The 14,867-nt window shown below is 42.9% G+C and overlaps 3 annotated features.

Moving 5' to 3' along the window:
• Nucleotides 11,405–11,464: an enhancer, noted in NCBI's record as "active region_7091". NCBI's record gives its function as "activates an Ori minimal core promoter by ATAC-STARR-seq in GM12878 lymphoblastoid cells {active_cell/tissue: GM12878}" and the evidence as "EXISTENCE:reporter gene assay evidence [ECO:0000049][PMID:35858748]".
• Nucleotides 11,535–11,614: an enhancer, noted in NCBI's record as "active region_7090". NCBI's record gives its function as "activates an Ori minimal core promoter by ATAC-STARR-seq in GM12878 lymphoblastoid cells {active_cell/tissue: GM12878}" and the evidence as "EXISTENCE:reporter gene assay evidence [ECO:0000049][PMID:35858748]".
• Nucleotides 12,674–12,883: an enhancer, noted in NCBI's record as "active region_7089". NCBI's record gives its function as "activates an Ori minimal core promoter by ATAC-STARR-seq in GM12878 lymphoblastoid cells {active_cell/tissue: GM12878}" and the evidence as "EXISTENCE:reporter gene assay evidence [ECO:0000049][PMID:35858748]".

The raw sequence follows: 14,867 nt of genomic DNA, 5'->3' as shown, positions 1-14,867 counted from the left end.
GGGAGTTCCCATACAAAGGGAAGTTGGGTGTGACGGACTCCATGTCAACATAACCACCTACAGTCAGAGGGGTCATTGCAGCAGATCAGCCACGTCATCATCCTTTACTGAAGCCATCACATCACTCCCACTAGCAACAGATTCATACCCAGAGTTATCTTTTTTTTGTTTGTTTGAGACGGAGTCTCCCTCTGTTGCCCAGGCTGGAGTATAGTGGTGTGATCTCGGCTCACTGCAAGCACCACCTCCCGGGTCCACGCCATTCTCCTACCTCAGCCTCCCGAGTAGCTGGGACTACAGGTGCCTGCCTCCACGCCTGGCTAATTTTTTTTGTATTTTTAGTAGAGACAGGGTTTCAGTATGTTAGCCAGGATGGTCTCAATCTCCTGACCTTGAGATCCGCCCACCTTGACCTCCCAAAGTGCTGGGATTACAGGCGTGAGCCACCGCGCCTGGCCCATACCCAGAGTTATCTTGATGGTGCTGACTATAATCCTATACTCAGGACATTGGTTCAGTCACAAAGGTTGGGGAAAAATGATTATAAATTCTCCTAATGCAGACAGTGATGATGGTTGGGATGCAAATTATCACTGAGCAATTTTTTTTTTTACCACTGCATTTGCATTAAACCATTTGAATACTACTGAATGATTTATATGTTGAAAGGGACTCTATTCCCCATTGCAGGAGATGAGAGGCACAATTAGCTCATGATTAGTCATCTCTGAAGAAGAGGCATAACGGGTCCGAGTGGGAAAGTAGAAATTCATAGTTTCACCAGGCACGGTGGTGCATGCCTGGAGTCCCAGCTACTCGGGAGGCTGAGAAGAGAGGATCTCCTGAGATGGGAGTTCAAAGCCAACTTGGGCAATATAGCGAGACCCTGTCTCAAGAAAGAGAATGGAAGGAAGAAAGGAAGGAAGAAAGGGAGGGAAGGAGGCAAGTTATCTTAGGATTGCACATTGGGTCTGCCTTTCTAAAGAACAATTTGGCAATAGCTATTAAATACTAAATATACAAAATCTTTTTGATCCAGTAATTCTAGGAATTTGTGGTAAGAACATAATCAGAGTTGTATTGGAAAATATTTCTCCAAGGTGGTTCACTGCAGCATTAATATAATACTAAGCCAGGCGTGGTGGCTCACGCCTGTAATCCCAGCACTTTGGGAGGCCAAGAAGGGTGGATCACGAGATCAGGAGTTCGAGACCAGCCTGACCAAAATGGTGAAACCCCGTCTCTACTAAAAATACAAAAATTAGCCGGGCATGGTGGCGTGCGCCTGTAATCCCAGCTACTCAGGAGACTGAGGCAGGAGAGTCACTTGAACCCAGGAGGCAGAGGTTACAGTGAGCCGAGATCACATCACTGTACTCCAGCCTGAGCAACAGAGCGAGACTCCATCTAAAAAAAAATACATATATATGTGTATATATATATTGTATATGTGTGTGTGTATATATATAGTATATATGTGTATATATGTATGTATATATATTACTAAAAAAATTTGGCCAGGCTCAGTGGCTCACACCTGAGCCCATCACTTTGGGAGGCTGAAACAGGTGGATCACTTGAGGTCAAGAGTTGGAAACCAGCCTGGCCAACATGGTGAAACCCTGTCTCTACTAAAAATACAAATTTAGCTGGGTGTGGTGGTGCACGACTGTAGTTCCAGCTACTCGGGAGGCTGAGGCACGAGACTTGCTTGAACCCAGGAGGCAGAGGTTGCAGTGAGCTGAGATAGCACCACTGCCCTCCAGCCTGGGGCAACAGAGTGAGACTCCATCTCAAAAATAAATAAATAAATAAATTTTTTTTAAAAAAATTAGGAGCAACCTAAATGTCCAATAATTGAAGATTAGCTAAGTAAATTATGGTGCATCCATGTGATAGACTCAGTGCAGTCCAAAAGAAATTATGTGAAAGAGTATTAAATGACATAAGAAAATGTGGTATTTTAAAAAGCAAGCTGGCCAGGCGCAGTGGCTCACACCTGTAATCCCAAAACTTTGGGAGACCGAGGCAGGTGGATCACGAGGTCAGGAGTTCAAGACCAGCCTGGCCAAGATGGCGAAACCCCTTCTCTACTAAAACTACAAAAAATTAGCCGGGCGTGGTGGCAGGTGCCTGTAATCCCAGCTACTTGGGAGGCTGAGGCAGAGAATTGCTTGAACCCGGGAGGCAGAAGTTGCAGTGAGCCGAGATCGCGCCACTGCACTCCAGCCTGGGTGACACAGCAAGACTACAACTCAAAAAAAAAAAAAAAAAAAGAGCAAGCTGTAGAAATTATGAACAATACACCATTTCTGTAAGGTTAGTTTTGAAAATCTTTGGGCAACAGGGTAGAGTGGAGGAATAATATAGTGATTAAGGCCAAGGCTTTGTGCTCAGACAGATAAAAGTTGAATTCTTAGCTCTGGTACTTAACAGCTTGAATACTGTGAGCCTCAGCTTATCCATCTGTGAAATGGGACTAGGACAGCGACTATCTAACACCTAGGGCATGACACTTATTAAACAGATGTTCCTAACTAGAATGTTGGGCAATGAACAGTATGTATGTGTGTGTGTGTGTGTGTGTGTGTGTGTGTGTGTGTGTATGTTAGCTCACTGTGGGTGCTTTCTTGATACATTCAATTCTTTCTCAATTAGGCAGGTATTGCTATTGTAATTAGGAACAAAGTCATTAACATAAAAAATAAAAGGCATAATAGTTTAGAGAGGAACCCCAGGAATATTATTCAACATCAGAAATGTCATCAGGACAGAAGGAATGTCAACTGTGTGCTAATTTGCCACGCAAATTTTGCTCTCGGAGTCGTCTGTTTCAAATCATGTTGTGGCATTTCTGTTCCTCTTTTTCTTAAGGACTTGTTCCAAGAATTAAAACAATTTTTTTTCTTTAATAAAAGAAAAAAGGAAAACCCCCAAACTTCAAGCCATGTGGGTGAGTGCAATTTGCAGAAAATATTTCCAAAATGTTGTAGCCAATATAGGCCATGTTTTAAACCTCAGATATCTAAGCAAATATCTAAGTTTTGCTTATAAACCATATGAAGTCCCTCAGTTTGGTAACACCTTGCTTGTTGGAAATTATTTAGAGGGAAGGTTCCAGGGACATTCATTGGTTTTGCCGGCCCAGTCTCCAATCCCCCTCACCTCCCAATCCCATCATCTGGCATCTGAACCTGGATATTTATCTGGGAAACTACCTCCTTCCATCTAGAAGCGTGATTCAATGGGGCCCACCCATGTCTTGGTTTGACTCAGTTCTGACCAATAAGACTATTACATTGTTCTGGCCACCAGGATTGGCTCGAGGGTGGGCATGTAACCCAAGCTAAGGCAATCAGAGTCAAGGAATCTTAGCCCTGGGATTCTTGCTAGAGTTATTGACAAGTAGATGCTCTCTTTCCACTGGGGCGCTAGGTGATGGTGTACGAGGCTGAAACTGCTAGAAACAGTTTTAACACCATTTAGAGAAAGCCTGCTTAAGAATGGAACAAACACAAAGGAAGAAAAGCCAAGAAATGGACACAGTCAGATTCCTGCTGATAGCCTTTAAGCACAGAGTTTCAGCCATGCCTAATGCTCGAAAACACTCCTCTCTGTGTAAGCCAATTTGAATTGGTTTTCTGTTGCTTACAACTGAAAACGTCCTGACTACTACAGAAGATCAGTCTGAAGTGGCAAAAACATTAATTCCATTATATGTTCCAAGAGCCAACAGTGTGTACAGTATTTCAGGTGCTAATGACTCATTCAGTGTCTCTTAAGTGGAGCTCCTCCAGAACTGGCTTCAGAGGACACCTAAGAGCCCTTTGTAATTAGCTCATTAAAGGAGCTCTGGCAAAGTGGTTGTCAACTTGCTTGAAAACAGTCATCTTGGCTGGGCGCGGTGGCTCACGCATTTAATCCCAGCACTTTGGGAGGTCGAGGCGGGTGGATCACCTGAGGCCAGGAGTTCAAGACCAGCCTGGCCAACATGGTGAAACCCCATCTCTACCATAAATACAAAAACAAATTAGCTGGGCGTGGTGGCGCATGCCTGTAGTCCCAGCTAATCAGGAGCCTGAGGCAGGAGAATTGCTTGAACCCTGGGGGTGGAGGTTGCAGCGATCCGGGATCAGGCCACTGCACTCCAGCCTGGGTGACAGAGGGAGACTCTGTCTCAAAAACAAAAAAACAAAAAAACAAAACACAGTCATCTTGAGTAGGCTAAGCCTTTCCCTTGCTACCTCAAATACATGATATGGCTTTGCAAAACGTTTTTCAGCGTTAGCACAAATATAGGCCTACATTCAACCTCTGGCCCAATTAATACAATTCTCACTAAAACGTTTAACCCTTTATTTGTAATCCTTTTACCCGAGCAGAAACAGTAACAGAAACAAAACATTGCAAAGAGGTTGTATTTTAGAGAGAGTGAGAGAGACCAGCCACTGTTATGCTTCATAATGGGTTCTACGGATAATGGTGAAGCTATTTATATTTCATTTTATTATCCTGTTTCCACCCCTTTTGCTGTGTTTAAGAAGCTATAGATTGCCTCTAAATGCTGAGTTCCTGGGCAGTTGTTCTTTTTCTTTTGTCAAAATGTTTTAAAGGATAGTCAACAATCGAAGAAGTCAATTCAAGTTGAAGCGAGCCTTTATTGAATTCCCAGTGATCACAGGTCAGGGCCAGACCTAGAGAAGATGAAAAGATGAGGAACCCTAATTCAAGTTTCCTGGAGATCACTGTCTGGTTAAGGAGATAGGAATGTGGTGTAGTGTGGTAGGCCTAGTCTATCTGCATTCAAATCATGGTTCTGTCACTCTAACCAGGTCCTTGGGCAAGTTCCTGAATCTCTCTGTGCATCCGTTGCTTCATCTGTGAAATGGGAAGGATAATGATAGTACCTACCTAATAGTCATGTTCTGATGACTAAATGAGTTAGTACACAGGAACTTCACAGAAGAATGTCTAGCACTCAAAAAAATGTCAAAGTTGTCTTTCTTTCTTATTTTAATCTGTGTCTGGTTTTGATGTTTCCCCAATACTTCTCAGGTATACCTTGGGATCCAAAATCAGCATGGTGATTTTTGGCGATGGTCACTGTGATGGTTAATATTAATTCTCAACTTGATCGGATTGAAGGATGCAAAGCATTATTCCTCAGTGTGTCTGTTAACATCTGACTGGGAGAGGCGGACCCAACCTCAAACTGGGTGGGCACCATCTAATCAGCTGCCAGCACGGCTAGGATAAAAGCAGCCAAAAGAACATGGAAAGACTAGACTGGCTGAGTCTTCCAGCCTCATCTTTCTCCTGTGCTGGATGCTTCCTGCCCTGGAACATCGGACTCCAAGTTCTTCAGCTTTTGGACTCTTGGACTTACACCAGTGGTTTGCCAGGGGCTCTGGGACCTTTGACCATAGACTGAAGGCTGCCCTACTGGCTTCCCCACTTTTGAGGTTTTGGGACTCAGACTGGCTTCCTGGCTCCTCAGCTTGCAGACGGCCTCTTGTGGGACCTCACCTTGTGATCGTGTGAGTCAATACTCCTTAATAAGCTCCCCTTTATATATACATCTATCCTATTAGTCTTGTCCCACTAGAGAACCCTAATACAGTTACATATATCCCAAAATTCCCTCACAAATCCCATAGGAAGCAGCCACACTGGCCATCCATAGATCATTTCTAAATACAGTAAGTCCTGCCCAGCCAGCTGATCCCACGTTATTATTTGGTTGCGAACCAGATGAAGCTATTTCCTTGTATTTAGAGGTCAAATTGTAGGAGAAATGTTAATCTTTCAATATTGTAAAAACATGCATAAACACTGGACTCCTACTTAGGGCAGCAAAGGGCCACATGGGAAAAGAAGCTGGTGATTCCTGAGACTGGTGAAGGATCAGCCATCTGCAGCTGCCACCCTAACCTCACCCTGGACATGCTCCCATTCCACAGCCTGCAGAAGCAAACTGCCTGTACTTATATTATGCTTGCTTTCTCTTCACAAGCATACGTGACTGAGTCCGTGTACATTAAAGGCTTATGACAATTTTCTGTGTTTAATTTTTTTTCTTTTTTCTTTTTTTTTTTTTTGGAGACAGAGTCTTACTCTGTCCCCCAGGCTGGAGTGCAGTGGTGCCATCTTGGCTTACTGCAACCTCTGCCTTCCGGGTTCAAGCAATTCTTGTGCCTCAGCCTGGGATTACAGGCATGCACCACGCCTGGCTAATTTTTTGTATTTTAGTAGAGACAGTGTTCCACCAGCTTGCCCAGGCTGGTCTCAAACTCCTGAGCTCAGGCAATCCACCCACCTCGGCCTCCCAAAGTGCTAGGATTACAGTCATGAGCCACCGAACCCGGCCCAATTCCCTATATTTAATTCTGCTTCATATTAAGACAGTTTGGAAATGGTAGACATCGGGCCACATTTGGCATCTGGGGTTCCCAACCCACTTTTACCTGGTAAAAATGTTAAAAAGTATGAGAGCTGGAGTTCCAAGCATGAGACTTGAGTCCAAAGCCTGGAACCACAGTTTACCAGGGGGTGACCCAGGGCTGGTCACTTCATCTCCTTCAGCGTTAGTCTCTTCCTATGAAAAAGAGGATCTTGAAAATATTCACCACCGACAGTTGCTGAGAGATGAAGATTAAGTGCACATAGTTGTTAGATTTTAAGTGCATTCATAGCCAGGTGTGGTGTCTCACACCTGTAATCCCAGCACTTTGGGTGTCTGAGGTGGGAGGATCCTTGAGGTCAGGAGTTTGAGACCAGCCTGGGCAACATAGTGAGAACCCATCTCTACAAAAAATAAATTAAAAAAAAAACTAGAGGCCAGGCGCGGTGGCTCACACCTGTAATCCCAACACTTTGGGAGGCTGAGGCGGGTGGATCATGAGGTCGGGAGATCGAGACCATCCTGGCTAACACGGTGAAACCCCATCTCTACTAAAAAATACAAAAAAAATTAGCCAGGCGTGGTGGTGGGTGCCTGTAGTCCCAGCTACTTGGGAGGCTGAGGCAGGAGAATGGCGTGAACCCAGGGGGTGGAGCTTGCAGTGAGCTGAGATCATGCCACTGCACTCCAGCCTGGGCAACAGAGCCAGACTCCGTCTCAAACCAACCAACCAACCAAACAAACAAACTAGAATCGGCCGGGCGTGGTGGCTCACGCCTGCTATCCCAGCACTTTGGGAGGCCTAGATGGGCGGATCACCTGAGTTTGGGAGTTCGAGACCAGTCTGAACAATATGGAGAAACTCCATCTCTACGAAAAATACAAAATTAACCAGGTGTGGTGGCGTGCGCCTGTAGTCTCAGCTACTAGGGAGGCTGAGGGAGGAGAATTGCTTGAACCCAGGAGGCAGAGGTTTCAGTGAGCCGAGATTGTGCCATTGCACTCCAGCCTGGGCAACAGGCTAAAACCACGTCTCAAAAAAAAAAAAAAACAAAAAACTAGAAAGTGCATTCACGTATTATTTAGTATCTCGACAAATTTAGCATGGTACCAAGGTCTAAGTGAGTCTAAGAGACTAAGTCTAAGGGTTTAAGTCAGTCCCTGACCTCAAGAAGCACCCAGCTATATGGAGAAGGTGTCATAGCAAATGTATAATGCCACTATGATATGGCAAGCATGATCACCATTATTTCAGAGTAACTGCCAATACTCCAGTCTTTTTGTAGCTTCAAATAAAATGATCTGTTTTGTTTTGACAGTTAGTTAATACATGTTTGGACCACTTGTGTTATATATTTTGGAAGAGAAACACAATTTGGGTTATATATACACTCTGAATATCCATATCCTTCCTAGCCATGATATTAGGAGGATTGACCAGTACAGTTAGTCTTTTTTAAAAAATACTTATTTATTTTTAATATTTACTTTAGGTTTAGGAGTACATGTGCAGAGTTGTTGTTTAGGTACATTGCATGTCATGGGGATTTACTGTACGGATTATTTCATCATCCAGGTAATAAACATAGTACCCAACAGGTAGTTTTTCTGTCCTTTCCCTCCTCCCATCCTCTACCTACAAGTAAGCCCTGGTGTCTGTTGTTCCCTGCTTTGTGTCCATGGGTGCTCAATGTTTAGCTCCCACTTATAAGTGAGAGAATGTGGTATTTGGTTTTCTGTTCCTCCGTTAGCTCATTTTGGATCGTGGCCTCCAGCTCCATCCATGTTGCTGCAAAGGACATGATCTCACTCTTTTTTATGGCTGAGTAGTATTCTATAGTGTATATGTACCACATTTTCTTTATTCAGTCTACCGTTGATGGGCATTTAGGTTGATTCCATGACTTTGCAATTATGAATAGTGCTGTGATAAATATATATATGCATGCAATGAATATATACCTGCATATGTCTTTATGATAGAACAGTTTATATTCCTTCGGGTATATACCCAGTAATGAGATTGCTGGGTTGAATGGTAATTCTGTTTTAATTTCTTTGAGAAATTGCCATACTGCTATCCACGATGGCTGAACTAATTTACATTCCTACCAGCAGTGTATAAGTGTTCCCTTTTCCCTACAACCTTGCCAGCATCTGTTATTTTTTGACTTATTAATAATAGCCATTCTGATGGTGTGGATGCTATCTCATTGTGGTTTGGATTTGCATTTCTGTAATGATTAGTGATGTTGAATATGCTTTGTTGGCCACATGCATGTCTTCTTTCGAAAAGTGTCTGTTCATGTCCTTTGCCCACTTTTTTAATGGAACCGTTTATTGTTTTGTTTGTTAATTTAAGCTCCTTATAGATTCTGGATATTAGACATTTGTCAGATGCATAGTTTGCGAATATTTTCTCCCATTCTGTAGGTTGTCTGTTTATTCTGGTTGATAGTTTCTTTTGCTGTACAGAAGCTCTTTAGTTTAACTAGATCCCATTTGTCAATTTTTGTTTTTGTTGCAATTTGATTTGACATCTTCATTATGAAATCTTTGCCAGGGTCCATGTCCAGAATGGTATTTCCTAGGTTATCTTCCAGGGTTTTTACAAGTTTTAGGCTTTATATTTAAGTCTTTAATCCATCTTAGGTTGATTTTTGTATGTGGGGTAAGGAAAGCGTCCAGCTTCAATCTCTTCTGCATATAGCTAGCCAGGTATTCCAGCATCATTTATTGAACAGGGAATCCTTCCCTCATTGCTTTTTTTGGTCAACTTTTTCAAAGATCAGACTGTTGTAAGTATGTGATTTTTATTACTGGGCTCTCTATTCTGTCCCATTGGTGTTTGTGTCTGTTTTTGTACCAGTACCATGCTGTTTTGGTTATTGTAGCCTTATAGAACAGTTTGAAGTCAAGTAATGTGATGCCTCCAGCTTTGTTCTTCTTGCTTAGGATTGCCTTACTATTTGGGCTTTGTTTTTTTTCTTTTTGTTCCATATGAACTTTGGAATAGTTTTTCCTAATTCAGTGAAAAATGCCATTAGTTTGAGAGGGATGGCCATGAATCTGTAGATTCCTCTGGGCAGTATGACCTTTTTTTTTTTTTTTTTTTTGAGATGGAGTCTTGCTCTGTTGTCCAGGCTGGACTGCAGTGGGCAATTGAGGCTCACTGCAAGCTCCGCCTCCCGGGTTCACACCATTCTCCTGCCTCAGCCTCCCGAATAGCTGAGACTACAGGCGCCCGCCACTAAGCCCGGCTAATTTTTTTTTGTGCTTTTAGTAGAGATGGGGTTTCACCATGTTAGCCAGGATGGTCTCGATCTCCTGACCTGGTGATCCACCCGCCTCGGCCTCCCACAGTGCTGGGATTACAGGCATGAGCCACCATGCCCGGCCGCAGTATGACCATTTTAACAATATTGATTATCCCTGAGCATGAAATATTTTTCCATTTGTTTGTGTCATCTCTGATTTCTTCAAGCAGTGTTTTATAATTTTCATGGTAGAGATCTTTCACCTTGCTGGTTAGCTGTATTCCTAGATATTTTATTCTTTTCGTGGCTATTGGGAATGGGATTGTGTTCATGATTTGGCTCTCAGCTTGGACGTTGTTGGTGTACAGAAATGATACTGATTTTTGTACATTGATTTTGTATCTTGAAACTTTGTTCAATCAGTCTTTTTTTTGGTTCAGGAAAATAATTTTGAATGACTGTTCATGATTAAATCAAACAGATTTGTTTTCCACTAGTAAACTGTAGTTCACCATTATTGAGTGCATGCTGTGCATATTTTCTATTGAAAAGCGCTCCAGCTTGGCATCAAATGGGCTCTAGCATTTATTAGCCTCAGGGTCTCCTCTGAAAAATGGGCAGGAATAGCACCTACCTGATAGTGTCAATGTAAGGATTCAGTAGGGTGGCTCGGCACCACAGGAAGTATTCAATATGGGCAATAATCACCATTGTCCTTGCAGAAGAAGCCTGGGCAGGAGAGAGATTTTTCTGTGCTGAAAAGACCTTTGTGACTGCTCTGAGCTCTTCAGGGAGACCAGTGGTGTCCAATTTAAAAGAGGGCTTATGGCCGGGTGCAGTGGTTCATGCCTGTAATCCCAGCACTTTGGGAGGCAAAGGCCGGTGGATCACTTGAAGTTAGGAGTTCAAGACCATCCTGACCAACATGGTGAAAGCCTGTCTCTACTAAAAATACAAAAATTAGCCAGGCATGGTGGCATATGCCTGTAATCCCAGCTACTTGGGAGGCTGAGGCATGAGAATTGCTTAAAACTAGGAAGTGGAGGTTGCAGTAAGCCGAGATGGTGCCATTGCACCCCAGCCTGGGCAACAGAGTGAGACTCCATCTCAAACACACACACACACACACACACACACACACACCCCAATAAAAGAGAGGTTAGATTGTCATGTCAGCACGTAAGGCAAAAATGAATGGGGTCAAATTACCCTTGAAAATTCTCTTCCCATAAAGTAGGGTGTATATGATATTGTTTATAACACATTCAGGTTAGAGAACCACTGAGTCAGACCACTGAAGGGAGTGAAAGATATGTTTACCTACAGCTGCCTGGGCATTGCAACCATTCTGTCTCTAAGGAAGTGAGTCTCAAGTAGGGGCAATTTTTGTCCCCTGGAGGACATTTGACAATGTCTTGAGACATTTTGATTGTCATTCCTAGAGCAAGGTATGCTGTTGGCGTCTAGTAGGTAGAGGCCAGCAATGCTGCTCAACATCGTGCAGTGTACAGGACAGCCCCCAAGAACAAATATCCAACCTGAATGCCAGTAGTGCTAAGGTTGAAAAGCTCTGCCTTACTATCAAGCCACACTTAGGAATGAGGGATGGGTAGAGTCTGCTAGGATGTTTCTGTTTGTCCTGGGGTTTAATTAGATGCCATATATAAAAGCCCTTAGCACAGGGCCTGGCACACAGTAGGTGCTTAATAAACATCTAATGGGTTTGAGGTTAAAGCTTGCTTGATGGGGCCTACTACATACACTCTGTTTTTGAAATGTGGTGGAGAAGAACTCACCACCTGCTTCCTGTCTTTCCAAGCAAAGCACTTTCTGTTTCACCCTGTTCACCAGTGATCGTTCTCATGGTGGCATCTTACATGAGAGGCTCTGAAGCCAGAACCAAAATCAGGTGTGATTCTACTGTATCACTAGTACCAAAACTTTCTTGTTTGTTTGTTTTTTGTTTTGTTTTTTAAGAGAAGGGTCTCACATCTGTCGCCCAGGCTGGAGTGCAGTGGTGTGATATTATGACTCACTGCAGTCTCAAACTCCTGGGCTCAAGAGATCCTCCTGTCTTAGCCTCCCAAGTGGCTAGGACTACAGGTACATGCCACTACACTCCACTAATTTTTTTTTAATTTTTGTAGAGATAAGTCTCGCTATGTTGCCCAGGCTGCTCTCTAACTCCTGGCTTCAAGTGATCCTCCAACCTTGGCTTCCCAAAGTGCTAGGATTACAGGTGTGAGCCACCATGCCCAGCCCTAGCGCAGAAACTTTCTAATTTGGATTCAAAACTAACAACTGTTCAGCTCTATATGGACAATCTTCTCTTGCACCACATGATTTCTGCAAAAGGAACTGTCACAAACAGAAACTCTACTTCCTCCTAACAGGCTGGATCTGAAATGGGAGTTCATGAGTCCAAGGCAAGGGAGTTGGAGGCTCGTTGGCCTGCATAGCCTAGAAAACTCTCAAGGCCCACAAAAGCAAGAAAATTGCTTTTAAATGAAAGAAAGATTTCCATTTCACTTCAACCCCTAATGCCTCACATAACTCTAACATCATTCCTGGTCCAACTGAAATATTTGAATCCAAATAGTCCTTAAGTCATTTGGACCCTATTCAAATGTGAATTCATCTCTTTAATCACTCTTCCTCTTATTTTTGAAATAAAGACTAATATTGAAAGTTAAGAGTCTATTTGTTAATTTTTTTTATTTAAGATTTTTTAATATAGGTTTGGTCACCATTGCTTTCTTCCCCATCATTCCTTTCTCATCATTGTCTTGAAGTTCCTAAACTTGTCTTTTTCTATTTTTAAAATTTCCCTTCATTTAAGTATTGTGGACAGCAGGCAGACTGAATAATGATGAATATGATTAATGTTCAGACTTAATAAGTCTTATGAAAAGACCTTTTTGTTCCAAGGGAAGGGATGTGATGTTTTGGCAGCATATAGTGTCACAGTGACAGAGTCAAATGTAGAGTAACCCAATGAAGGGACATAGCATGTCTTAGCCATACTTACCCTGAGAGGGAGTCACACATATAACAGCCTATTTAGATATGTCCAGAGAAGGGAAGGGATTTTCCCACAATGGCGTCTTTCTGTTTCACATCTGTCTTGGGAGCTTTCGTGAATTGAAATGCTGACTTGGTGTATCTGTATGAAATGGAGTGAGACACATTATCCTCAGAAGCACAGCACCTTCTCCTTGAAGTTCTCCTTCTACTAGAACAGCTATGATAGAAGAGAAGACTATACCAGGATCCAGGAATGGCAAATACACAGACCATCCACCACTCTCCATGGCCCTCCTCATGGCGGACATTACCAGTCAATCACAGCACCGTTCCCCTCCCCACATAGAGAACCCAGACTTGGAGTCACAATATTTGCCCAGAACCATTCAGGCAGTCACTGACAAGATGATGTCAGGGTAAGCATGCAAAATAGAAATGATTTTTAACCTCTATTAGGTAAAGAAGGATATACGTAGAAGAGCACGGAAAGGTTGTCACCACCGTATTCTTTTCCAGAAACCTTTTCAGTGCTCCAAATCTCACTCAACTGCCCTGAGTAATTGAGAGCTCAGCCTGCTCATTGGCGCAAAGGTTTAGAAGAGAAGAGGGAGAAGTTGGCTTTGCTTTCTACATGGCAATTTGGTTTGAAAACTTGCCTCAGAGTTACTGAGTGTGTGGAAACATATACATTGAGTGAATTCACCTTTTTTTTTTTTTTTTTTTTTTGAGATGGGGGATGGCTTTAGCTCTGTTGCCCAGGCTGGAGTGCAGTGGCACAATCTCGGCTCCCTGTAACCTCCACCTGCCAGGTTCAAGCGATCTTCCCACCTCAACCTCCCAAGTAGCTGGGACTACAGGCACGCACCACCACGCCCAGATAATTTTTGTATTTTTTGTAGAGACGGGGTTTTGCTGTGTTGCTCAGGCTGGTCTCAAATTTCTGAGCTCAAGTGACTCACCTACCTTGGCCTCCCAAAGTGCTAGAATTACAGGTGTGAGCCACCATGCTTGGTTTAATCGTATTTTTTAATACAGTCTGAATCCATAGTTTTAAGCAAAATGTAGATCTTATTTATATGTAATTTTCCTCTTGAAATCATATAAGATACTCCCCTAAATAAAACAAATCAAAAACCCTGTGACTACTGTTTTTCCTCCTTGAATTTCCAGTGTTATTACTATAGGGATTTTTTTTTTCCAGATAAGTCCCTAGTACCACTTTATCCATGAGGCCTCAGTCTGAGGTGGAGCTTTAAAAACAATCTAGAACTAAAATCAATTTTACCATTTTATAATTTGCTCAGTAAGATGGGGGGGAAAAGTATATGATTTTCAAGTACTTTCTACATTCTTGACTAAAAACGGCAGTTTTTTTTTTTTTTTTCTTTAAGCAAATGCAATTCTCTGGGTACTTACTGTAAGAGGATTTTAGTCATTGGAGACATTTAAAAAAAGATCTCAAGCGAGAATTTTTCTTCACATTTTTTTCAAAGGGATATTTACCCTGGAAAATGCTACATTTAGAAAAATTGTGCCTTAGATGACAACAAGCCCACTGATTTGAGGTTGGGGGGAGGAGAGTGGGGTGGAGGAGGTTGGAGGCTGTGTGAAGAGAGTTCTATTTACCCATGAGCCAAGCATGATTTTGGAGTTCATTTTCATTCATTTATTTTCATTTATTCATTCATTCATTCAATCAATCAACAAACACATATTGAGGGTCTGCCATAGGCAGAGTACTGTGCTAAGCAACAGAATTATAGCCATGAACAAAACACTGTCTTCAACTTCCCAACCCCTCTCAACCTGGTACTGCCAGAGAATGACACCCTAACGTGTAAAGATGGTAGTTCTCAATGGGGGAGACAACACTGCCCGCCAGGGGACTTGGACAATGTCAGGAAACATTTTTTGGTTGTCACAACTTGGGGATGGTGCTGCTGGCATTTAGTTGGTAGAGGCCAGGGGTGCTGCCAAACATCCTACAATGCACAGGACAGCCCCCGCAATAAAGATTTCTCCAGCCCAAAAGTCAGTAGTAAGGACCCTGCCCGGGCCAGGCGCAGAGACTCACACCTGTAATCCCATCACTTTGGGTGGCTGAGGCAGGAGGATCGCTTGAGTCCAGGAGTTCAAGACCAGCCTGGGCAACATAGCAAGACCCCATCTCTACCAAAAATTAAAAA

Source organism: Homo sapiens, chromosome 12 (genome assembly GCF_000001405.40).
Source record: "Homo sapiens chromosome 12, GRCh38.p14 Primary Assembly".
NCBI classification, from domain to species: domain Eukaryota; kingdom Metazoa; phylum Chordata; class Mammalia; order Primates; family Hominidae; genus Homo; species Homo sapiens.
Note: the sequence above shows the minus strand (reverse complement) of the source record. Positions and strands in the feature narration are given on the sequence as shown.